Genomic DNA, 26,292 nt, shown 5'->3' on the forward strand with positions numbered 1-26,292 from the left:
TTTTTTCAAGAAAGGAATGAAGCCTCTGCATTTTCTGACCTGGGTAACTTTATACCTGGTACCAAGCTGGCCTGGTATCACCAGAGAGGTTTCCAGACTATGGCAGCAATCCTGCCATGCCTCGGGCTCAAACAGCCATGTAACTTCACCTCAGAAGCCCTGCTTTGCCTCATAAACCTTGGCCAAGCCCATCGGACCTAGTTTTCTTCTAAACTGCAGGGAGAAAATATCAAATAATTCACAGAGCAACTCATTTACACATTCCAGTCTCCAAACATGCTGTATCACCCCTTTCCTCTTGGCCCCCAGAGCCATTAGCACACTTGTGACAAATTATCTAGAAGATTCCCCACATGCTGGTGCTCTCAGCCAGCCCCACAGGCTGGCAGCCTCCAGACTGCTCCAACACAAGGGCGTGTGGCTGGGGCTGCTGCCCTGGCAAGGCCTCCCCAGCCTGGCGGGGAACAGCCATGCCAGCTTTGGCTCTGGTATCTGTGGATGCCCTGGGTTACAGATCCGCCCACATGACCCAGATAGACGCATGTGATTTTGAATGTCTTTAGGAACACAGCTGAGAATGCATCTCTTTGCTGTGCACTTGAAGGTTTGCTTTGGCTTTTCACATTTATTCCCTGGGCAGTACCACCTACACACTCATTTCATCCAGCTCTCACCCACCCAAACCTCAGACACTTCTTGCTGGCAAGAGGCCACCCTCTTCAAAGGCAGGCATGAAAGAAGCTGGGCACTTACTCCTCCACTTAAAACTGTCACTACCACAGAGTGTGAAGGGAGCTGGTTTGTCCTACATTGAAATCTCCTGTAGAGGCCATTTCTGGTCTCTTGTCATGACTGTGATGCTCCTAAAAGGGCTATGACTACCCAACTAGCCCCTCTGCATTAGGAATGGCCCCAGAGCTCATGGGTAGGGAGCTGTGAGGTTTCTCCTTCCCAGGCTAGGGCCAATTCAAGTCAGCAATGAGCATCTACCTGGGCATTGGAAATACTAAGATGCATAAAACAAATTCCTGCCCCCACCCACGGCTGCAGACATTTGTCCTCAATCTTGACTTTCAGTTGTGCCATCACATGTCAATCGGTTGTGAAGTAATTTGTTATCAATAATAGGAAGTACCAAAGGTTTGAAATAGGAGTGCATTCAAAATAAGAATGAGCAAAGAGTGGATTCATGGGTATGCATACGGTATCATTGCTCTCATTTGCATTTGGACGCACTTTCTTTGATGAAGGAAAAAGTGTTGGAGAGGGGTGATCTGAGCTCTGTGACATTTGTGAGTGTTGTCTGTGAGCCCAGTGAAGGCAGGACGTTGGCTTGATCCACACATGGCCACACTCCATAGCTCTAACAAAGAGAGTGCCTCCTTCACCATTTCTCATAGAGAAGGGACTAAGCTTGACTTCTGTCTTTCAAGAAAACAGAAAAAGCAGTCGAAACTGTTGCCTTTTGACTCTGGCAAGATTTGTTTGTTGTTTGTTTAGGAAGAGAAGAGTACACTGGTTATAGCTATGGCAGTATTTTTTATTACTGCAGGCTTCACCTCTCTATTTGATATCTCACAGATGGCCCGTGATGAATCATGTGACGCACAGTGCTAAGTTAATCTCTCTAATGATATTAATGCTATTTACTTGTATTGTGCTTTAAAATTACAGTTTAAATGTGAACACTTTTGCATTCATTGACTCAGGTTCAACTTTAAGAACCTTTGAAGTAAGTCTTGTCTCTACCTACTGTGAAGAAATAACCTCAGAGAGGTCTTGCTCAAAGTCTATAGCAGGTGAATGATACAGCTGCGATTCAAATCCAGATCATGTGTTTCCAAGCGGTGTTTTTGTATTCCACTCAAGCTGTGTTGCACCCAACTTCATAACAGTGAAGAATAAAGATGCAGCTACACTTTCAACGTTGACATCTCAAGGAAATGTGGCCAGTTTCATATTGTTGGATGGGATGTCTCGCTGGCTTAGAGAAGCCTATCTCTTGGTAGTGGAGACACATCAACCTCTCTCTCCTCGGTCTGTCTTCTTGACTTTGTCTAGTGAGGCAGCCATTCTGCAGAATTTCATCTGCTTTAGGTATGCAGACCCTGCACTGCATGCGCGCATATGCACGCGGGTACACACACACACACACACACACACACACACACACACACACACACACACGGGACTAGGACTATTCCAGACTTGGCAGGGGGACTTTAATGGGGAGCTCAACCCACTGACTGCCTGAGAGCCCAGAAGTGTCATTTCTGACTATCTAAAGACCAGAGCATCTACTTGCTGCCATGGTTGGCTGCTGGGCTGGTTTTGGGGTTCTTTTGCATTACGGGCTTATGGGTACTTTAATGTGACTTAAATCACAGGAAATCTTGCAGAGAAGAGCAGATAAGAAATGCTCCCACAACCTTGCTCCCTTCCCCCAACACACATGTACACGTACACATACACACACACACACACACACACACATGCACCCTTCTGCACACCTACAGCAGGCACTGGCTCTGTGACTAAGATGCTCCTCCCAGGGAGTCACCTTTGGCAGGTGCCTGGACTGTGACATGGGCCACTGAACTGCTCATCATTCGTCTTTCAAAGCCAAGGACTTTTCACTCCTCAGCAAAGTATTTCTCAATCAAAATGCTTATTGAACTTAAAACTGAATGGCCATCTAAAGGTTGGGACTAGCACTCCCACAGTCGAAGAAATGAAACTTTTGGCTTTGCTGATGCTGAGTCTTGGCTCAAGGTTCTGAGGCTGGATGAAATTCTGCCCTGTACTTGCAAACATTTGCAGAACTGCTCAGTCAGCCTTCCGGGAAAACCATGCCCACATCCTACTGGATTCCTCTAGCTTTGGTGTTGTCAACACAGAGATCACTGAGAGTTTAACTCCAAATCGCAGGCCTCCATTGTTCCCTGAACACAAAGGGCAAGAGAGAGAGTAATCAGATAACAAATGATGAAATTATGGTTTTTAGTGGAAATACCTTCCATTTCTACAGCACTTCATCTTTTTGGAGAGCTTGCATAATATGGTTTGACCCACAAAACATATCTCAGAGGTGAAATTGAGCCAGACTTACTTTTTTATCTCCATTGTGCAGATGAAGAATCAGAAATATATACAGTCAATGATGACTCACATATATGACAGTGGTCCCATAAGATTATAATGGAGCTGAAAAATTCCTGTTGTCTAGTGATGTCATAGCTGTGGTAACATCGCAGTGCAGTGCATTCCTCACATGTTTGTGGTGATGCTGGTGTAAACAAACATATTGCACTGCCAGTCATAGAGAAGCCTAGCACATACAATTATGTAGAGTACTCCATAATTGATGATAATAAATGACTATGATACTTGTTTATGTGTTTATTATACTATAATTTTATGTTATTTTAGAGTGTACCCCTACTAAAAAAAAGTTAACTGTAAAACAGCCTCAGGCAGTTGCTTCAGGAGGTATTCCAGAAGAAGGTACTGTTATCCTAGGAGAGGACAGCTCCATGTATGTTGCCCCTGAAGACCTTCCAGTGGGACAAGATGTGGAGGTGAAACACAGTGATGCTGATCATCCTGACCCTGCCTAGGCTGAGGCTAATCGTGTGTGCTTGTGTCTTAGTTTTTAACAAAACAAAAAACTTAAAAACTAAAAATATTAAGTAAAAAATTTTAAAAATAGAAAAAAGCTTAACAAATATGAATATAAAGAAAATATTTTTGCATAGCTGTATAACATGTTTGTGTGTTGTGTTATGAAAGAATCAAAAAAGTTAAAAAAATAAAACATTTATAAAGTTAAAAAGTTAATGTATTATTGAAGAAAGAAAAATAAAGTTTTAAAATAAATTTAGTGTAGCCTGAGTGTACAGTGTTTATAAAGTCCTCAGTAGTGCACAGTAATGTCCTAGGCCTTCACATTCACTCACCACTCACTCACTGACTCACCCAGAACAACTTCCAGTCCTGCAAGCTCCATTCATGGTAAGTGCCCTATACAGGTGTACCATTTTAAATCTTTATATTGTAGCTCTACTGTATCTTTTCTATGTTCAGACATGTTTAGATACACAAATACTTAGCATTCTGATGCAGTTGCCTACAGTATTCAGTACAGTAACATGCTGTAAAGGTTTGTAGCCTAGGAACAATAGGCTATAGTCTATAGCAGAGGTATGCAGCAGGTTATACCATCTAGGTTTGTGTAAGTGCACTTTATGATGTTTGCACAATGATAAAATCACCTAATAATGCATTTTTCCAAATGTATCCCCATCATTAAGCTACACACGACTATATATAAAAAGATATAGAGTGAAGAGGTATGTGTGTGTTGTACGTGTGCGTGTGCATGTGTGTGCGTGCATGCAAAAGGGAGGAAACATTTAATCACTTAAAATTATCTAAGATAATATCTAATGACAGGGACTTTTGTATCATTTAAATTTTTTGTTGTGTCCCATCTCGAGGTTATCTGGAGTCACACTGACTCCAGGGCTCAAGCCAAACAGAGTGGAAATTCCCACAGCAGGAGCCAGCTTGCTACTGAAGTTCACCTGCTCTTGACAAGTAAGAGTGGGGAGAATACGTCCCCAGTTTCATGGGCTTTGTGGCTCTCCTGTCTAGAGCCTCTGACAATTTCAGTGAATTGTGGAGAACTGCCAATAGCACAGACAAAATGCACAGAACTGATAAGCAGGATTTGAGAGTGATCTATAACCTAAAAGAACCAAATTAAGCTGCTCTTTAATTGCATGCAGTGGTCTAGAATTGTTTTCTTTCCCCCTTGTGTGTTAGTGCCCTTGGTGGCTTGGGTTCCCCTTCTCTTAGAAAACAATGGTTGGCCCAGGGTCACCCAAAGGCTGTTATTGGAGTGTTCACTCTTAACCCCTTCCCAAGCCATTCTATCTCTGTAATACCACTCCCTGGTCTAATAATCAACACCCCACCACCCTGAAGTCGTCCAGAACCCTCCTTTGCATGGGACACGAATGGCTGGTGCTTCATGCCAGGAACCACCCTGGTGACTAACCGAAGAGCCCAGCACCACTTTATGTTATACAAGTTCTTGTAAATTTTGCATTTCATTTCTCCTATTCTCTGGGATCTCTTAAAAGGTGGGGGAAAAGCTGATAAAGCAAGTCAGTATATGTGCTAATTTTCCAATTCCAATTAAAATGGTTATAAAACATTTTTAAAAATTACTTTTGAACAAAAACCTTAACAGAAACTGAAAGGGCCTTGGTTAGTTCCTAAGAGGCAATATTCCATTTGGAAAGAAGTGTGTCTGTGCCCACTGTCCATGCTCCATAAGGAACACTCCAGGGAATGCCCAGGTGCAGCCTCTGGGAAGGGTTAGAGTGATTTTTGGCATCAACAGCACTCAGAGAGTCTCATGGCTTTGATGACTAGTCCCTGGCATTCCTATGGCTGCTGTGCCAAGTGCTATGTAATGGTTATCCCCAAATGTGGGGGTGCCTGGCCTTACAAAATTTACACTCTAGGCTTCTAGAGTTGCCTGGAATGGAAAAGGCAGAGATGCTGAGCTGGACTGGCCTCTTTGGAGTTAGGGAGGGGTGGGGAGGACCTGCAGGCATGTCCCCTGACTAGCTGCAGTTCCAGTTCAGCTCCCACAGTAGGAAAGTCTCTGCCGGTTGGGGTCTGTTCTGGGTCTGATGGGCAGGTTAGTGTGTTTTAGCCTCTGGAATCCATGTTGAGGTGCAAAGAGGAAGACCTTTACTCCTGTCTTCTGTTATAGTGAGGAGTGGTCTTCCAAAAGGGGCACACAATCATGGGGCCTGGGGGCTGAAGCCCGGCCAAAGAAGTTGGGCCAGGCCTACCTGATGACCTCTCTCCTCCACACCACTCTTCTCCCACAGAGGAGTGGAGCAGACAGCAGCTCCCCCCATTTTCTCTTTTCTCTGATGTCCACTTTGCGTTCACATCTCACTCCACTGAGACAGCTGCTGGGAAGTCTCGCTGCACCAATTCCGAGGCCAACTTTCAAGGGAGAGAAGCAATGACTGGGAGGGAAGTTTGCCTAGGCAACAAGGAGTAAGATCATTTTGCAATATGTGTTGGGTTAACTGTTGTATAAATAGTTGACCCTTCAGCGAGCATCACGACTCCTCTGCACTTCATTTTTTCTCCTCTTCCTTCAATTGGGAAAAGGCAATCCTGCATGGGTTGCAGAGGGCTAGGCAGGCATCCTCCAGAGTCAACTCTTCCTCCTCTGGGTCATTCATTCATCACCCTCCCAATCTCTTGGGTGTACAGTCTCCAGGCATTGCTTCTCCCACCACACAGCTTCCTTGCTGGTGTGAGAGTAGCCTGCAGAATGCACATGCTGGCCTCTGTGCTGGCAGCCTCTTGCCCATTATTTCTAAGTGCCATGGGTCAGGTTGTCTGGGAAACAGACTTTGAGAAGGAAATTTACATGCAAATGTGCTCTTGGGAACAATACCCATGAGGGAGAGAAAGGAGGCTCGGACACAAGGTTGAGTAGTGCAAAATCGTACTAGAGGCCTCAACTGATCTCACGGGGAGCTCTGAAGCCAAGTTGGCCCTTCAGAGATATCTTGAATGGAGGGAAAGGAGGAGCCCTTGGTACTGCTGCATCGTCCACTTGTGCCTGGGGCATGTAACTTTTGGGAGGCAGCTCCCACTGGCTGAAGGCAACTCCCAGGGAAGGACCGACCCATCAGCAGGCAGCACTCCCGAAGTCAGGAGGACTAGTGTCTTGGTTCATAAGGGAGATGAGGGCAGCCTGCCTAGCATTTGTACCTGTCAGAGACCAGAGAAAGAGGAGTATAAAGCTGCGGCCTCTGGTCTGCACTGCTCTAGGTCAACGCCTTGGCCTGATCCATCAGGATACAGGGCCAGGGGAGGACAAAGAAGAGTTTCCAGGGAGCCCTGCCAGTGGCTGGAAAAGAACAAGTGTCAGCTGGAAGCTGCAGGGCAGACCCAGTGTGAAGAAGAACTGGCTGCCATCTTGTAGATGGAGCCCAGACGACCAGCTTAAGCCTAACAGGAGAGTTCCAGTGCAGACAAAGAGTTGGTCTGGAAAACACCCCTAATCGGGAGCCAGTTCTATGATGGTCTAAATCTATGACACTTTCACTAGATTCTCAAAGGTGATTACAACCTTACTCTGCTTTGCACTTCCTAGTGTATGTCATTTTTAAAGCATAGCAGACTCATAGGCACTGGGTGAGGAGAATAGCTGAGAAATGTTCTTGGGAACTGAGAAATACTGACCAAAGCTAGGAGTGATGTCTGCCTATCAGCGTTCACCAAGTCACTTTATCAGGTCCAGTGTGGTTCTCTGCTCTGTGTTCACCCCCTGGGTATCACTGCCACCTATCTTTATTTTTCTATTGCATTTGGGAGGAGGGACAGTGGGTGGCAACTGAGGAGAGGCTGTTAGAGAACCGAATAGGAGAAAAGTCCAGCTGTCTGCACTGTGAACCTTTCTCAGGCCATCAGGGGGCTGGTTGGCCAGATGCCAGGGAATGGTGGAAGGTTCTGGGCCTGCATTTCCTAGCCAAGAGCATTCAGTGTATAACTCTTAGCACCCTGTTATCCCTCTCCCAACACTATTGTGCAAAATTAGGTATAACCCCAGCCAGTCATTATCCCCAAACTAACCTCACAAGCATACATCACAGGCTGATGCAACCCACATCCTGCGGCACAGTTAGCCGGCCCCTGACAACAATGTTTAAAGTGTGGCCAAGGGTGAAATATTGCCTCACTGGTCTGAAAAGGCTTTTGCCACCAACAAAAAACCATTATGATAACAGGAAGGCGCCGAAAGCTAAGCATAGTATAGACAGGAAAGATCTCTCTTTCTCTACCCTTCACAAAAAAGAGAGAGGTTTTTAACCCTCCAGTGTCCGGCTAATTTCCTAAGTAACACTGGCCAAGGGTAACTGCAGCACCACACTGAGCTGGGCATTCAGGAGGGGCAGGAGTAGTTCTTGGCTGGAAGGCTGTCTGCCAGACAGCACCAGAGGTGGCACCTGGCTGTGTTACCAAGCGGCCTCTATGGGTGCTAGGGGAAGGAGTGTGTGGAGCAGAGAGTACCATTGGGGCCTCACAAGCAATTTTTGCTTTTTAAGTTTCCTGTTTTTTCTTCATTTTCATGCCAACTGCATCAATCAAACATTTAAATAACCAAATGACAAATGTTGCTGGAAAGCCCACTAGGTACCTGTCAAGCACCACACTAAATGATTCAGGGGAGAGAAGGAACACACCTGCCCTTGCGTTATTTGGAAGAAGATAATACACATAAGAAAGAGAAAATGATAGCCTGATGAGCTGCCATGAGCACACCAGAAAGCCACACAGGAGGTGCTGCTGAGGTCCAGGGCTGGAACAGACCAGTGGCTCATTTTTCCTTTTAGGTCCCACTGTCTACCATGGTCCACGTGGACCATCAGCCACATGCCTTGCCCCTCGCTGGTCTCAAAGGTGGCATGAAATGGAAATATGGTCAATCAGAGATCTCCATTCCTTGGGCCACAGTGAAAGGTCCAGGGATAAACTGGACCTATCCAGTGAGTGGGTCAGTAGGTCAGGGAAAGCTTGCTGGAGGAAGGGTAACTTACGTAAACTAGGTGTGAAAGCAGGAACAGGATTCAGATAAAAAAGCAGGTGTTCCAGGCAGAGACCCAGCAAGTGCCTGGCATACAAAAGGCCATGGTGAATGAATGAATAAATGTGGCCCACAGGAAAAAAAAAAGGCATTTCTGGAGTTTTCGGGCTAACCATTCAGAGAGGTCATCTAAGAGACAAATAGGGGAAGGGAGGGTTGAAAAGAAAGATTAGAATCAAAGGAAGTCTTGCACTAGGAATTAAGGTATTTGACTTTGATCTTTCATGATTTTCAGTGGGGACTCAGCAATAATCCAGCTTATAAGGCGATAAAGGTCTGACTTCGGGTGAGACTCAATGAGAAGTGGGGAGCAGGAGGGTGTCTTCCAGGTATAAAGCATGATGAAGCATGGTAGCAGGTGCTTTACTCACTCCAGTTAGGATGGAAAGGAAGGGACAGATATGAGAGACATTATGGAGACTAATAAAATAAAGATAAATTTGAGAAATCAAATTTGGATGCTGTTGTGGTTGCATTAGATTTAGTTGCAAATGGTAAAAACCTATATAAATTAGCTTAAAAAAAAAAAGAAGAAGGAATGTATTAGCCATGTCACTAGGAAGTGTAAGGAAACTTCTTGCTGCAGGCACAGCTCCACTCATGGCCAGGCTCCTTCTGTGGGCAGGCAAGTGTTCTAGGCAGCCCCAGACTCATCTCCCAGCAAACATAGGTGAGCTTTCCCATGACCTCTGGTAGAAAGGTCCCAGGAGAGACTCTGATTGGCCAGGCCTTGGTCAGGAGTTCATCCCTGGACCTATCACTGTGGCCCAAGGAATAGAGGTCTCTGATTGGCCAGATTTCCATTTCATGGCACCTTTGAGGCCAGAGAGGAGCAAGGCATGTGACTGATGGTCCACATGGACCATGGTAGACAGTGGGAACTAAAAGGAAATATAAGCCACTCCTGTTGGAAGAAGTGAGATGGGACAGCATGTAGGACACTCAGAAATGATAACTACTGTGGTTTTATGCTGGGGCCATTAACACAAATATGGAAAGCAGGAACTTAGGGTCAAGGAGATGATTTTAGGCATGTGGAGTAGAATCCTGCTGGGACAGAGCTGGTGGCAGGAGTCTGCCCCCTGTAGAGACACAAGGCTGAGATGACGGGGGTGTGGAACCTCCACTCCCTAGAACACTAAATCTCCAAAGCAGTTTCCACCTATTTCTGCTGACCCCAACGTCCTGAGCCAGTTTTGTCTTTAAAAAGTTGGAACCAGTGAACACAACCAGTGTAGAACTGCTCAGAGAGGAGGTCTGGCCTCCTGAGGCTGAAGCTCCAACCCTGCTTCTGAAATTCACCCACCCCTTCCCCACTGAGATTAATACCTAACACCTTAGTAGGTGCCATCCTATCACCAAAGGACACTCCAGCTCAGGCAAGGACCACCCTGGACCTGCTGAAACCACAGGCTGGTCTTTGGTTGAAGTCTTTTCTTTGTTTTCACCATGAGAGCAGGCGTAAGTGGTGACCCAGAAAGGCTTGGAGACAGATGAATTACCTTGAGAGCACCTAGCCCTGCAGTTACTGTGTGCCCTCAGCCATCCCAGCTGGGGCAGCCACGGCAAACCCCCGAGCTCAAGCCAGCCAAGCCAGCATGAATGTGGTCTTCTAATGTTTCACTTTCATGGGTAATCTGAACATCCCCAGGCCACCTTCCTGTGGATCCTGTTTAATTCCAAAGAAATTCAATAACACAAAGATCGTGTTCTTACCCCACTTGCCTACATGCCCATGAGCCAGTCCATTGATTACATCAATAGCATCCTCCCTGCTATTCCTGTCCCCTTCCGGTTTTCTCTCATTGATATCCTCACCCAAGAAGCCACTTGAGGGTACCATACTGCTGTCTGGGCTCTCAGGGTTTATGATAAGAGCACCAGCATGCAGGCCCACAGTGCTGACTTCCTGCAAGAGTTGGGATCATGGTTTTCTCCCTGACTCTGTGCCACACCTTGTCACCAGGGTCCCACAGAAGCAGAATATGTGCTCTAAGTATCACAAAGTACCTCATGAAAATAGCTCTTTAAACTTTTTCCTTCAAGCTCTCTCTCCATAGGGGCTGAAGACAGCAGCACCAGGGACCAGGCTGAAGACAGACACATCTCACTCCTCCATTGTCCTTCTCTCACTTTCATGATGCACAGTTAACAAGCAAGAGATCTTTCCACCTCCTTTGCTAAGAAATGAAAGCCTCCATGCACATCAACTCATGCTAACAGACCCCTGAAGGGTCACTGTCCCCAGCTCTGCTCTGTGCACCATCCACATACAGAAAGACAAAACTGTCAAGCAAGGCTCCCCATCATGGTGACCATAGAATTGGGTCAGAACTCAGAACCATTCTGCTGAGAGCTCGTGTACACCCAGTGGCAGTAGCAGTGGATGCAGACAAGTTAGCAAGGGCAGCAGGAGGACATGTGCTGATGGCCACACCTGGCTAAGACCCAGAGCCAGGCAAAGGCAGGCCAGGCCACAGAGGGACCTGACGTGCTACGGACTCATGCTTCTCTGCTGAAATGACACCCTTCACCCCGAACCCAATCATTGTCACGTCCTACCACATATTCCATCCCCAACCCCAATACTCTCTGAAAAACCCTTGTTCTCCTCCCATATTGCTTCCTCCTCCCTCTTCTCTGCAAAGATGGCCCTTCAAACCCCAGCCTGATCCCAACCTCTTTCCCAAAGCCTCTTCTAAGTTGCCTCACCCACTCTCTCTCTCTCCCTCCTGAATCATAGTCAATTAATCTCCCAGTCCCCTCCATTCCACCTCAAGCTCCTTCAAATCTCCTCTCTTCTCTCCACCTTAGCTTAGGCTCCCCCATCTCTTGTCAAATGACCACTCCTTGCCTGTTCTTCCTGCTTTCTCTCTTGCCCCTTTCAATCTATTCTCTACACTGTGGGGTTCATTCCAAAAGACAAATACAATCATGTCATGATCTACATAAACTCTTCTACAATAGCCAACACTGTTTTTCTATTTTGTTTTGTTTTTTGAGACAGGGTCTTGCTTGTTACAAGTGTGGTAGCATGAACACAGCTCACTGTAACCTCAAACTCCCAGGCTCAGGCAATCCTCCCACCTCAGCCTCCAGAGTAGCTAGGATTACAGGTGCACGTCACCACACATGGCTAATTTTTAAATGTTTTTTAGAGTTGGGGTCTCACCATGTTGCCCAGGCTGGTCTTGAACTGCTTGCCTCACGTGATCCTCCTGCCTCGGCCTCCCAAAGTGCTGGGATTATAGACATGAGCATTGCAGCCAGCCTGCTAACACTTACTGTTGAATGCCTACTGCATGCTAGGCTCTGTTCTAAGTGCTTACATGCAAAATGTGTTGAAATCTCACAATAACCTCATGAAGTAGGCATTATTTCTCCCATTTCATAAAGGAGAACACTGAGGCCAAGAAAGGTTAAGTAACCTGGCTAAGGTCATACAACTAGTGACAGAGCCAGAATTTGAACTCAAGCCTCCAGGCTTTAAATTCCTCACTCTCGAGCAATGCACAGTAATTATACTGCTTCTCAGTTGTTCTCCAGTCTTCTTAGCTCATTTTTCTGGCTCCTGCCCACCTCTCTCTCCAGACTCATCCATTTTCACTTGCCCACATGCAGCTTTGCTCCCTCTTCCACCCCACTGGTGTGCCAGTAAATATTTAACATTGGCTTTCTGGAACATAAAGGCCTGACTTGCAGCATTTGCCAACCTCCATGGTGTAAATGCTACCACTATGGCCGATTTCAAGCTATGAATATGATGTCACTGAATGCAGAGTTGGGAAGAGATGCGCACAATCAGTCTGTGAGCTGAGCTGGCAGGAGCTGGCTCCAGCACACCACTGATGGGATCCAGCTCTGTCACCCTCCATGACTCCACTTGTCAAGGATGGACTACCTTGGACCTCACACACCCCTCCACCTGATCACACATAGATCCGGAAAGTGCTGTTGAAAGCCCACATTTATTTCTTGTCCACCACTGGAAATCTTAAGGCAGAACTGAAGGCTGCTGTCATTTCCAGACAGGCCCCTGTCTCCTGCTTGCCACAGCAGATTTGACTCATCACAGCCCCTGCCCTCCTCCACCAGAACACCCCACGCTGCTGCCTGGGTCTGTGTGTCTGCGCTTCTCAATCCTCCCACACTTCCAGGGGGCCCATCTCTTCTCATTCCTTCCTGTGATGATGTTTCTGGAATATGGATGTCCCATAGGCCCCTCCCATTCAGCCATTCTTAGGCCTCCTTCATCCTCTTTCTCCATAGACCCAACCCTTCCTCCATGTCCCAGTCTCTGACACCGCCATTCATCGCATCAGCCAAGCTAGGAACATGGGCATGATCTGAGACCTCCCTCCCCTCTCCCACCCCAGCCCAGGCACCAAGCCCTACAGAGTCTACCCTTGTGATATCTGTGGCCTCCATCTCCTGCCTCTCACAGTCACATCTCTGCTGCGGCTATCACCACTCTCTTCCTGAATTGCTGCCACAGTCTTCCACCTATGTGCCTCTGCTCAGGCCCATCCCCACATCGCTACCAGGAGACCTGGCTCCCCATGACACCAAGCCTGCCCCTCCTGCCTCTCTCCTCAGTGCCTAGGGTGCCCAGAGTCCTTGCCTCTCACCCGGGCTTCCACACCTACCTGGGTTCTTCAGTGTGGGGGACCTGGTCAGAATGCTTCCTCTCTTCAATTTTGGTATCTAGCTCTCCTTTGGGCTCTGTATATGCCCCTGATTGAGCACTTCTGCCTCCTAAGTGGGAGTCTGGGTCCAGAGGTTTCCTCTTGCCCGGTCTACCCCAGGCCACATCCACAGTCCTAGGGGAAGGTGTCCGCCCCACTGTAGCACACATGTTTGCATCTCCTGTTCAAGTGGGACCTCGCTCTTACGCCAGGCAGCCCTAAGGATTGAGCTCCCCTGCTCAGAGGTCAGAGGATATCCCCAAGGTCAGGATGAGCTTCAGTGGACATCCCGGGGGCTACTCCTAGGGGAGGTGGCTAAAGGTGGGCATAGCTCATAGCTAGGACCCTGTATTTTCCTCCCAACTCCTAATTAAGGACCAAGTGGTTTACCCAAAAAAAGTACTTGCTTTCCCTTTGTGTGTCTCCAGTGCTGTGTACAATAACCACTCCTACTAGGTGTGGCTTGAGAATAACATTTTCTTAATAAATATTTAATGTGGTGTTACCATAGAAACCACACTCACCATATAAGAATGGTCAGTTTTCACAGCCTCACAATCAAATGTTAATATTAATACTACCTACTGAGACTACAGCACATTTCCCTGGTCTTGGTTATTCTGAATCTTGTGGGACCTGGGGCCATCTCTAGGATCACCAGTCAGCATCTCTTTTCTTTAAACTACTCTACTGAGATATGATTGACAGGTAGAAAACTGGACATAGTTAATGTATACAACCTGATGACTCTGTAGATACCACCTGTGAAACCATCGACACCATTCACCAAGGCCATCCATCACCTCTCAAAGTTTCCTCCCACTCCCTTTATTATTATTATCATTATTTTTGTGTGTGTGGTAAGAACACTTAACATAAGGTCTACCTTCTTAGCAATTTTTTTTTTTTTTTAGAGAGAGTCTTGCTGTCACACAGGCTGGAGTGCAGTGGCACAATCTTGGCTCACTGCAACCTCCGCCTCCCAGGTTCAAGCGATTCTCCTGCCTCAGCCTCCTGAGTAGCTGGGACTATAGGCGCCCACCACCATGCCCGGCTAATTTTTGTATTTTTAGTAGAGATGGGGTTTCACCATATTGACTGGGCTGGTCTCAAACTCCTGACCTTGTGATCCACCCACCTCGGCCTCCCTAAGTGCTGAGATTACAGGCATAAGCCACCGCTCCTGGCCTGCAAATTTTAAGTATATAATATAGCATTCAAAGCTACAGGCACTATGGTGTATAGTAGATCTCCAGAACTTATTTGTCTTGTGTAACGGAAACTTTGTACCCTTTGACCATCATCTCCCCTTTCCCCTTCTGCCAATCGCTGGCAACCACCATGCTACTCTGCTTCCATGAGTTTGACCAACATCTTTAAATGCAGTACCAGGTCACAGAGATGTGTGGGATAGTCAGTTTACAGAACAACCCTGTGGAGAGAGTTTCCTCAGAGGAAACCACATTGGTGACCCCTCCTAACTCATCCAGAGCCACCTGAGCCAGTGAATTAAAAGCTCTTTGTAGAGAAGTGATGACTTGGGACAAATGCATTAGGTAACACTAAGTGTGCATGTGTTTGGGGTAAAGTGTTGGAGGACTGTGCTGGGCAGTCTTGGAGATGGTGCTGACCATGACTGAGCTACCAGGGTCCTTCCTCCAGACTGAGAAGCAAGAGTGCCCAGGAAGTGGGCAGCCAGAGCTCTCTAAAGGTCCCTCTTCCCAGATGAATTTTCTTTCTGACTGCAGGAATGCTGGGTTCTTGTTGCCTGGTTTGCTGACTGCCGTCCAGAGCCGCTGCTGGCCACAGCACACATCCAGCCTGAGCCTGAGCACGGCTGCCCGTCCACATTCCTGATGCCTTCCTCTTTCTTAGAGTCCGCTTCAAGTTATTCAGAAAACCAGAGTCTCCTCCATCTTCACCGTATCAGCTGTAATCTTGTCAGGATAAACCGATTGTGCTGGATCTTTTAAAGTCTATCTGTTGGAGGTTTCCAGGGAATTTATTTAGTGCTTATCTGATTAACTGGGGCCAATTCACTAAGCTTCCAAGTAATAGAATCTGCTTTAAGCTTCAAGACATCGAAACAAAGAAACTTAGACAAAGATGGCTGAGATAAAAATTCATAGTACAACAAAGGCTATGTTGTAGAGACTGTCAGAAACAGAAAAAGTTTAGGACAGAATTTATATAGCTCTGAGGGTGGGGAGCAGGGCAGGTAATTCAATCCTAGGCAGCAAATGTGTGACAGAGTAAAAAAAAAGCCTCCTTTTCTATTTAAGTAGCCAGCATGTCATTGTTTTTGAAGTAGTTGACTGATTTTTGAATCTGGTACGAGACTATCAAGATCCATCTTTAACACAAGAAACCAAGAACAGTAGTTATCCAGGCAGGGTGGGAACTGAGAACAAGGGAACAAGACTGGGAGAAAGCATTTTTGCTGTCTAAGAGTATTTATACTTTTTGGCTGGGTAGGGTGGCTCATGCCTATAATCCCAGCACTTTCGGAGGCCGAGGCAGGCGAATCACTTGAGCACAGGAGTTCCAGACCAGTCTGGGCAACATGTTGAAATTCCATCTCTACAAAAAAATACAAAAATTAGCCAGGTATGGTGTCATGTGCCTGTAGTCTCAGTTACTTGGGAGACTGAGGTGGGAGGATCACTTGAGCCTGGGAAGTTGAGGCTGCAGTGAGCCGTGATCACACCACTGCACTCCAGCCTGTGTAACAGAGTGAGACTCTGTCTCAAAAAAAAAAAAAAAAAGTTTATACTTTTTGTGTTTCAAACCACATAAATGTATTACACCTTTTGAAAATTAACCCATTTCCTGTTTAGAAAATAAAAGTGCAGCTCACTGCCAGCAATTTTACATAAATATGCTCTTTGAGGCTGAAGGAAATCTGATTTTCGGTATGAAAATAAAATATATAAACTATTTTTGGAGTTATTTCTAAGCAGAACTTGTCTCTAATCCTAATGTAACAGAAATATATATGATGTTCCATTAGGATTAGAAGCAAGAGTATTCTCGGGGCAAACAGAAAATGGGTTAAGTGAAAATAACAGTTTAATTTACTTTGCTATTTTGAAAAATAAATATAACATCCAAGACAACATTTCAATTAGGCAGATCTTCTGAAACTAGATAGGGGTTACAAAAGCACATATTTCTAGTAGTGGAAAACATCATCTATCAAAGAGTTCTGAGGTTTGTGCTCTGCCTTAGTCTAGGCCTTGAAAAAGACAGGAACATAGCAAGGCTGGTGCCTGTCTTCAGGCTTTGCCGAGGTACACTTGGTGAAAATCAATGTGACGTGCTGGGACTACATGGCAAGCAAGTGGCTATGTGCAGGGCTGTCGGATTAGAGTCAATGGCCAGAGCAGCAACGAATGACCCCATTTGCAGAGAGACGTTGTGCTGGAGAAGCCAAGTGCCAAGGAGGAAGGCTGGCAGAAGCTCTGCTCAAAAGACTGAGTGAATGTGTGTGTGTTTGTGTGTGTGTGTGTGTGTGTACAACAGCCCAACAAAAAGCAGGTATATAAATACGAAGCAATCAACAGTAGAATCCATGCCCAAGGTTGAGATAAGTGAAGAAAGAAAATTGTGCCCTGATGGGTTTGAGTTCAAAGTGTGTGGTAGAAACCTGCACCACCCATTTGGGCAAATCAGACAGGCACTAGCCGCTCAGCTGAGCTGGAAAAGTGTCTGTGGGAGGATGCCAGGAAAAACACCATCACCCACCCTTTGAAGGAGGGGGATGTGCTGAATCTTGGTAACTAGGAGAACTTAAAACCGGAGCTGGGAGTGCAATGTGATCACCCAGAGGGAGAATGCACAAACAAAATATGAAGGGGAAAAAAGTTTAATTAAAAAGACAGCAGCGATGAGAGATTTAATTTCAGCCATGCAGCCAGCCCAGGGCCCCTGTGGGGAAGTAGAGATATCGCAGGAAGTGGGGCTGGAGGGGATGCTGGAGGCCTCTCATTTCGTGGAGATAAGGTATCTGGCAGCCTGTAAAACAAACAGGGCGCTGCCTGGGAGAGATGCAGGTACCCCTCAAGCCATAAAATCCCTCTTCTGGTCCCCAGCAAGCACTGATTCTGTGGTAGGTCACCCGAGGGGACTGAACAGTCACAGATGAAAATAATCCCTTTAGTTCAAAGGTCATCTCTGCCACCCTGCTCAAGGACAGCAGGCTTCAAGACCTGAGATCTGAGTGTCGCCCTTTGTCCCCAAGGGCCTTTGAGCGCTGGCTGGAAAAGGTCCTGGAGCGTCTGGGGTTTTACAGGGTAAAGAGAGCAGGGTCTATAATTTCCCAACCCTGGGGGAGGAGACAGAAGGAGCAGCAGACGATATAACTTCCCGAAAAGCACAGCTGGCAAGCACACCCACACCGTTAGGCTGCAACTCCCTGAACTAATTAAAAGGCAGAGCAATGGGAATTTCTGGATTGCTGCATAAGCAGCTCTTGGGGAAAATACGCTCGTGGTATTGCAAACACAGAGCTCCCTCTTCACTTCCAAGAGCCAAGTTGGACACAGGTGATTACAGTTTAGGACTAAATATGTGGGTAGGAATGTGTGTGTGTGTGTGTGTGTGTGTGTGTGTGTGTGTGTGTGTGTGTGTGTGTCAAGGAGCGGGGTGGAGAAGAACTCAGCCAGAGAGAAATGCAATGTGATGGAAATAGTTAAAGAGGCTATGATCTTCTCTCTGATTCCCCTTGAGGACAGAACAATAGGCAAAGGACTCAAATTGCACCACCAGAGAATTTGTGTGGCCACTAGGAGAAAAAAAAAACCCTCCAACTTAGAAGGGAGTGTTTTTGCATTTCAATCTCTGGGAGGTGTTTTCCTCTCTTTCTCTCTAAGTTTGAAGAATTACTGTTCGAGTTTAACCCCACTTGGAGCCAGAAAGATGGGCCAAATCAACACCAAGCATGCTTTTCTGCTTTGTGAATCTATGAAAAGGAAAATTTTTTCCAACTCTTTCCTCATAATAATACTCCATCAATGTGGAGAACTCCTCTGGTGCAGAACTTTCATATCCTGGATTGGGAATCCCAGAGGGAGCTCAGCTGACAGGATGCCCTTAGGAGACCCACTTGTGGGCCACCAGGAGAGTTACTTGATGAGGGTGTTGGGAATGTAGCTGAGCTGCAGGATGTCAGATAAAACCCTGACACCAAGAAAGAGGACAAAAGCAGCGCATCCCCTCTGTCTTCCCTGGGGAGGGCCCAGTGGAGGCTGGACTTTATCCTGGGACAGTGATGGATTGCACTGTCTGGGCTTATGAGACAGAAAGGGGAAAGGCTTTTCAGCAAGATAGTGGGGGACAGAAGGTGGCTCAACTGTCACTTGGCCCAGGCTCCACTGGAGATCAATCCCAAGTCCTTGGTCGAGAAGATTTTAAGTTGAAACAGCAAGAGAATACTTCGAGGCATCTAACGGAAGAGCTGCTGGGGGAGTGCCCTGCCCTGTCCCCACCATAAGGACTACCAGAAAGGAGGTACAGCATCAGTAATGGCAGAGGCAATGACAGCTCACGTAGGCCACCAGGAGACAGTGAAGAGAGTGCCTCTGCTCTGATCCTGGCCTCAGAAAAACTTGAATGATTGCTAAAAATCTATGTGGGCCCCCTGGGACTCTGCAAGTAGAAACTGGGCTATGCCTTCAGTGGGCTTGGGGTTCCAGTGACTCTACTAGGAGGGAGCTCAGAGGCAAACATTTTTTTGTTGCCACTATGTTGTCCCTTTCTGACTATGTCCCTCAGGCAGGCATTGAGGGAGGAGTTTATATATATAGGATGGCACATAACCTGGGAGCATCCCCATGAACATACAGAGGGGGTGGGTAGAAAATACCTATATTAAAATATAAGGAAACTAATGCTTCAATAGGTTATCAACAATTTATCCAAATAGTCGTTGGTGGGAGAACTAGTCATAGGCAAGGAGTTACTAGGGAGGGAGGAAAGACATGGGGCAATAGAGTACCCACCAGTTTTCTAGAGAATTAGCTAGGTCCTACTAACAAATTGTATTTCAGGACCACAGACAGCAGCACAGGAGCACCATTTTGGTGCACACTCCCACCCCATTTATTTCATCTATGCAAGTGGTGTCATCTCTCACCCATTAAACCCAGTCCCGGCTCTCAGTGGAAGCTCTGAGGAACTTCTGAGGTTACACAGAAAATAGTCTGAAGACCACTGTACTATACCTTTCACAAGGGAATGATAAATCAATTATCTTTATTTCCAATCCAGTCCTTATCCAGTACTAATAATACTAGCTAATGTTTATTAAGCATTTACTATACCCATGTACTGTGTTCTCATTTTATCCTTATAACAACCCTACAAGGTTAATTCCATTATTATATCCATTTTATTGATGGAGAAATGGAAAGATGAGGAAACTGAGAGATGCTGAAATAGGAGAAACAGCAAAATTAAGTGACTTTTTCTGAGGTTACACAGGCAATCTAATTCCAGAGCCCATACCCACAGCCACCCTGTCAGAGTTGTGTTCTTGAATTTTATACATGGAATTCAGGCATGAATTGTAAATGGTAAGAGACACGACATAGGGCAACTTGGCACATGAAGTCATCAAGGACCTGGAAAAGCATCTGCTTTAGTGCCTAGGAACTGAGAGTTCTGTTTCCTATTAAGACTCTGCCTCTTATTATTACCTGCAAAAACTACAACAAGTTATATAACGTCTCTATGTCTCTTTTTCCTTTCCCAGTGGAACAATGAAGTGAACCAGGCATCAAGGGCAGATTTGGAATAGGTAAATACCTAGAAGCTGCTAAGGAAAATAAGTCATAAGTTAGAATGTCTGTTTAGTTTTCTAAATTGTGTGATGTTTTAGAGCTGTCAGGGACCTGCAGATCTTAGAATCCATACTCTGCAGGATCTTTAATATTTTATCTATATGAACACCTCACGCAACACAAGAATCCTTCCAACCACATTCCTGAGAAGGTGCTGAGGCCTTTTAGGGCCAGATTGCTCCTTGGGTCACCAGGAAGCTATCCCTTCTCCACAATACACCCTTCCTCTACCAAATGTACCCAAATATAGCACATCATAGCATTTTCCAAAGCTGCTTCTAAGATTGCACCATGTCCATCTCCCTCCCACCAGAGATACTATTTGTGCCCTCTGCTGTGGCCAGAGCAAATCATATCCCACTTCCTCCTGGCAGCCCTTGGCAAGAAGGTGAGTTATTACACCTCTCATAATGTCAACGGAAGGCTAGGCATTTCAAAGGGAACAAGTGAAATATGATTTGTTCTAGCCTCATCAGAGGTGAGGGTCATGGATCAGTGGAGTACAAGAGATAGTCTGGAGACGTCAGCAGGGGCCAAATCACAAGGGACATTGTATGAGATTCTATGCTGAGGGCAATGGAAAGCCACTGAAGGCTTTTAAGCAGGAGAGTGACACAATCAAATTTGGATTTTAAGAAAAATCACTCTGACTACAAGTTGGAGAGAGGATTGGAGGCAAATGTGAGACTGGGGGCAGGATATGCCATGGCCAGACCAGGGCACAGTAAAGCAGGCCTCTAACCTCCTAGCTTCTATCAATGCTGCCAGTGATGGTGAGCTATACCAGCAGCCATAGCTCACTCTTGTTTCACATTCAGCTCTGGGCAACAGAGCCTTTTCTATAGGAATAGCAGGGTTAGCTCTTTCCCAGCATCTATCTCTGCAACTAACTGTTTTAAATCTAATCTTGTTAGTTTCAGCTCTTCCTTTTGGGGTATTGAAATCTTTGTGCATCTTGATCCAACTTTTTCTTTTTTTCTTTCTGTTTTCTTTATTTATTGTTTTTTTGAGATGGAATCTCACTCTGTCCCCAAGGCTGGAGTGCAGTGGCGTGATCTTGGCTCATTGCAACCTGCACCTGCCGGGTTTAAGCAATTCTCCTGTCCTCAGCCTCCTGAGTAGCTGGAACTACAGGAATGCGCCACCACGCCCAGCTAATTTTTGTATTTTTAACAGAGATGGGGTTTCACCATGTTGACAAGGATGGTCTCTATCTCTTGACCTCTTGATCCGCCCACCTCAGCCTCCCAAAGTGCTGGGACTACAGGTGTGAGCCACCACACCCGGCCATCAACCTCTTCTTTTTTACTTAAGGGGAAGTACTGAAAGATTTGCTGAAGGGCCATGGATAGTCATTGGTGGTAGGGACAATACTGAACCCAGATTTTCTGACTCCTAAACCAGGCACCCTGGTATTCTGTCTCTCTAGGAAATTGATCTGTTTACAGGAACTAGAATCAAGATTGACTAGAAGATTGATAGGTTAGTTGGAAAAACAGGTTTTAGCTTGCAGACCCCAAAGGCAGGGAGAGAGGACCCTACGTCCCTTTCTCATGTTTCCTCCTGTTGACTAAAAGATGCCTGCGTTTGAATCTACAATCCACAGGGATGGCATTACAAGTCTTCAGGCAGCTGAAAGTCACAGTTGTTCAAACCAATCATTGTGGCACTTGACAATGTCAAAAGACTTGAGAGAATTTCATAGGTGAAAAAAAAATCTTACAAGCTAATGAATGCTTAACAAAAGCTTCTCTATGGAGCTGAACTAGTTCAGAACATAAATGCTGTTTAGGGAGACTGGACAGGAAATGGGACACCCCTGTGCAGGTGGGAAGGGGAGGGGGGCAGACAGAAAGCTTCCCTGGATGATTTCCTAAGAATCAGTGCCTGTCTCCTGGGTCCTAATCCACTTGATCTCTGGTCAGGATTTATTTCCATAGCCCCATGAAACCTGGTGATTGGACCCTGCTCATGAAAGTCTTAGACCAGGTTCCAGTTGCACAATCAGCTAGTGCCCAGTGCCTATAAAGTATAGGACTGGATTTCCACATGGTGCTGGGAATCAGCAGTGAACTGTGTCCAAAGCTCTGTCCCAGCCTGACCAGGACCTCTTAGGTTAGTCCATTCCCCCACCCCAGCCACCACACCTCCATTAGCTCTTTTTTTCTTATGTTTTCTTTATATTAATGCTCCTTTTTTTAAAAATAAAAAACAGAACAGCCTTCTCCTTCTAGCCAGCTCATCCTGCATCTCTTGTGTTGGCCTCAGGACTTTTACTCAACTCCTTCTCTATTCCCTACTTGAATCCCCTCCTCAAGTCCCACTAAAATGGTGATTTCTGAGTAGCCTTATTTGTAAGCCAAATGCTGTTATTGAAACAACAAAGTTGTCAGATGATCAAGAACTTTGTTGGTCCCTTTAAAGTAAGCATATGCTTGTCTTCGAATAACTATCAATTGGCCACATTTCACAAAGGAAGTTAAGAGCAATCAGGAGTAACTCCAAAATATACTCTTCAGGGAGAAACTACGTAAGCCAGCATTGACTTTTCAAACAGGCACATGAGCATTATTTTAAAAAGGACAAGCAGCAGGGCACAGTGGCTCATGCCTGTAATCCCAGCACTTTTGGGAGGCCGAGGTGGGTGGATGATGAGGTCAGGAGATCGAGACCATCCTGGTCAACATGGTGAAACCTTGCCTCTGCTAAAAATACAAAAATTAGCCGGGCGTGGTGGCGTGCACCTGTAGTCCCAGCCACTCAGGAGTCTGAGGCAGGAGAATCGCTTGAACCCAGGAGGCAGAGGTTGCAGTGAGCCGAGATCGGACCACTGCACTCCAGCCTGATCAACAGAGCGAGATTCTGTTTCAAAAAAAAAAAAAAAAGACAAGCAAACCAAACTATGTACATTTTGACCCTAGCCTTGATACTTATTGTTGAAGCTGTAAAGGAGGCCCCACATAGCCTGTACTGAGACAGTTGACCATCACCCAAGCCCTGTCCCTATGGTCTAACAAACCTCTCCTTGGCAAAGCAACGACCTGAAGTTATCTATCCCATTCAGGAGATCGTATGGCAAGAGCTTCACTAAGCAGTCAATGAGGGAATACTTTTTCAAAGAGCATTTTCTATAGCTTTCTATCTGGTTTCTCACACATCTTCAATGACATCTGAAAAGCTTTGCTGAAGTGAAATGTATTTGTCTGTGGCCAGGTTACTCAAATTGCCTCTCTTCCTTGCCAGGGAATTCCAAAATCTGGCAAGAGATGTCTTGTATAAAGTCCCACACAGCAGGAAAGAAAAGCCATGCTGACACAGAGGACTTCCAGAGGATTAAACACAAACCACATTTTTAAACAAAATAGAGTAAGCTAAAAAGTAAGCTAAAATAAAATCTTACTCTGGTTACCCACTTTCAGAGAAGCCACTAAGCCATCAGAGGCACTGGTGCTACACATTAGCATTTTAGTTTCTTAACTTGGACACACCACCAGCTAAGCAATTGCTGCGTCCAGGTAAATTTAATTGAGTTTAACATCCCTCAGTCCTAGAATCTTTCAACGCTAGTGCCTGTGAACTTACCTAACGACCAGAGGCAGGTGAATCTCATGGTGCTGATGCTTTTATCTCTCCTGGGCTGGGGCATCATATAAGAGGGGATTCAAGGGTGTATCAAGCACTCTCAGCCTGGGGGCAGCTGTGTACTTTTGGCTGTGAGTGCTCTCAGAGAGGCACAGAGGTGCTCTCCATAGAGAGGCACCAGGAGCCAGGCATGCTCCTGACCGCTCCAGCCTCTACCTGCCCAGCACGCGCGCGGCTGGTGAGTCACAGTGTGATGCGGACAGGTCCAGGAGGTTTGTTGTGTGCTTGCTTCATATCATAGGGCACTTCCTGTCCTGAGCTGAAAGGAAGGGCTTTTTTAAGAGATGCATATTTTTTAAAAAATTCATTTTCTATATGTGTTCAAGAAGGTGCATGGCAGCATTATCTCTAAGAGGAAATCACTGGAAAAAAAGTGCCTGCCATTCAGGGACCAATTTGAAATAAATACGATTTTCCACATAATGGAATAAAAAAGAGGAGGATGTGTATTTGCTGCTATGAAAATGTCTCTAAGATATATTGCTGGGTGGAAAAAAAGCGAAGTTGCAAACATACTTAGGCTTACAGAAAGGTCCAAATCATGCTTATTTTTGTATATGCTTAGAAAAATGTCTGGAGCAATTCACAAGAAACTTGAAGCAGTGAAGACTCCAGGAAGTAGAACTGGGGAGGAGTGATCTTAATTTTTCTGCACTTTTTGAATTTTCTTTTTGACTCTGTATGTACCTAGGACTTTTATAATAAAAGGGGTTTTGAAAAATTCCTTTCTTGCCTAATGAAAAGTATTCTCGTCAGCTAGCCAGTAGCTTCCAGCAAACAAAAGGTTTCCATCAGCAATCAAGCTGCAGTGAATAAGTTTGAAAAGAGAAACTCAATTTCCTAGGAAAGTATCTAGAATAGAAGATCTCAATGAGGCTGAGGGAGGGAGGTATCCTCAGCAGTATCTGGTAGGTTCTGATACTTCCCAAGCTGAGAAGCATTAACTAAACATACTGCATGTTAATTCTTTCTAATTTTATAGGATAGAAAATGTCCGCATATGAAGCAGAGATAATAATATAATGAACCCCCATGTCCCCACCACCAAGTTTCATTAATTAACTTGGCTAACTTTGTTTCATAGCCAACCCACGCCCTACTGTCTTCCCACCCCCAAACATGCCATTTTATCTGCGGAAATGTACTACTGTAAGTTAAAGACTCTCCCCTTTGTAAACATTACCACAATATAATTAAGTTTTTTAAACTGTCGATAAGCCATTATTTTATTAAATATCTAGTAAGTATTCAAATTTTCAAACAAAATCTATATATTGTATTTGGTTGTTACGTCTATTATGTCCATTTTATTATAATTTACAGAGCTCTCTCCTGGAATTTCCTTGCAATTTATTTGTTGAAGAAACCAAGTTATTAGTCCTGTAGAGTTTCCCACATTCTGGATCTTGCTGATTCTACTGCCTGTGGTATTTTTTAACATGCCTTTTTGTACTCTCTACTTCCTGTAAATTGGTAGGTAGATCTAGACTTACTCTGATTTATGTCTAATTCTTTGCCAATAGGTGGTATGCTCTGCCAGAAAATAAAGTCTTATGTCTTCCTATTTGTGATCTAGGCTGCCCTTGATGATTATTACGGGTTGAACTATGTTCCCCAAAAGGATATGTTGAACATTTACCCACCAACGCTGTGCCTGTGATCGTGACCTCATTTGGAAACAGGGTTCTTACAGATGGAATCAGGTTAAAATGAGGTCATACTGGATTAGGGTGGGCCTTGATTCAGTCCTTATAAGAGGACAATTTGAACACAGATAGACACAGGGAGAAGACAGCCATGTGACCATGGAGGCAGAGAAGGGAGTGATGGTTCTACAAGCAGAGGAATGCTGAGGATTGCTTGCTGGCAAACAAAAGGAAGAATTCTTTTCTAGAGGCTTCAGAGGAACACAGCCCTGTCAGTATTTTGATTTCTGATTTCAGCCTCCAGAGCTGCGAGACAATAAATTTCTGTTGTTTTAAGCCACCTGGTTTGTGGTACATTGTTATGGCAGCCATAGGAAACTAATACAATTATTGATACCCAGAATTATTATTTATTTAAGAGCTTGCAAATAATATTTCTTCTGCTTTCTTCTTCCTCCTCTTCTTCTTCTTCCTCCTCTTCTTCTTCCTCTTCTTCCTCTTCCTCCTCCTCTTCCTCCTCCTCTTCCTCCTCCTCCTCTTCCTCCTCCTCCTCTTCCTCCTCCTCTTCTTCCTCCTCCTCCTTCCTCTTCCTCCACCTCCTCCTCCTCCACCTCTTCCTCTTCTTCTTTCCTTCTCCTCTTCCTCCTCCTCCTCCTCCACGGGCATGCACCACTGTGCCTGGCTAATTTAAAATTTTTTTTTGTAGAGATGGGGGTCTCGCTAGGTTGCCCAGGCTGGTGGCAAACTCCTGGGCTCAAACAATCCTCCTGCCTTGGCCTCTCAGAGTGCTGGGA

The 26,292-nt window shown here is 45.6% G+C and overlaps 1 protein-coding gene across 22 annotated transcripts in view, besides 2 other annotated features; it reads right to left on the minus strand.

Annotated features, from left to right (window-relative positions):
* The window catches only part of BCAR3 (BCAR3 adaptor protein, NSP family member), a 286,411-nt gene that overhangs the window by 189,664 nt on the left and 70,455 nt on the right, over positions 1–26,292 (minus strand). For 6 of the 22 annotated variants that reach the window (NR_178003.1, NR_171551.1, NR_178010.1 and 3 more), the window contains one exon: positions 1,520–2,942. The exons of 11 other annotated variants lie outside the window; for them this stretch is intronic. Coding sequence is in view for 1 of the 11 variants with exons in the window: in NM_001412056.1 (NP_001398985.1) it covers positions 23,793–23,859 (67 nt within the window). In the remaining 10 variants the exon portion in view is untranslated. Of the gene's footprint in view, positions 1–1,519; positions 2,943–13,834; positions 15,952–23,792; positions 24,112–26,292 lie in introns of those variants that run through there. 5 more of the 22 variants (NR_178022.1, NR_178017.1, NR_148965.2 and 2 more) reach the window with 5 other exon arrangements.
* Positions 2,689–2,983: an enhancer, noted in NCBI's record as "tiled region #10321; HepG2 Activating DNase matched - State 5:Enh". NCBI's record gives its function as "activates a minimal TATA promoter and a strong SV40 promoter by Sharpr-MPRA in HepG2 cells {active_cell/tissue: HepG2}" and the evidence as "EXISTENCE:reporter gene assay evidence [ECO:0000049][PMID:27701403]".
* Positions 19,296–19,496: a silencer, noted in NCBI's record as "peak324 fragment used in MPRA reporter construct". NCBI's record gives its function as "represses an SCP1 promoter by STARR-seq MPRAs in K562 erythroleukemia cells {active_cell/tissue: K562}" and the evidence as "EXISTENCE:reporter gene assay evidence [ECO:0000049][PMID:32103011]".

Source organism: Homo sapiens, chromosome 1 (genome assembly GCF_000001405.40).
Source record: "Homo sapiens chromosome 1, GRCh38.p14 Primary Assembly".
NCBI lineage: Eukaryota > Metazoa > Chordata > Mammalia > Primates > Hominidae > Homo > Homo sapiens.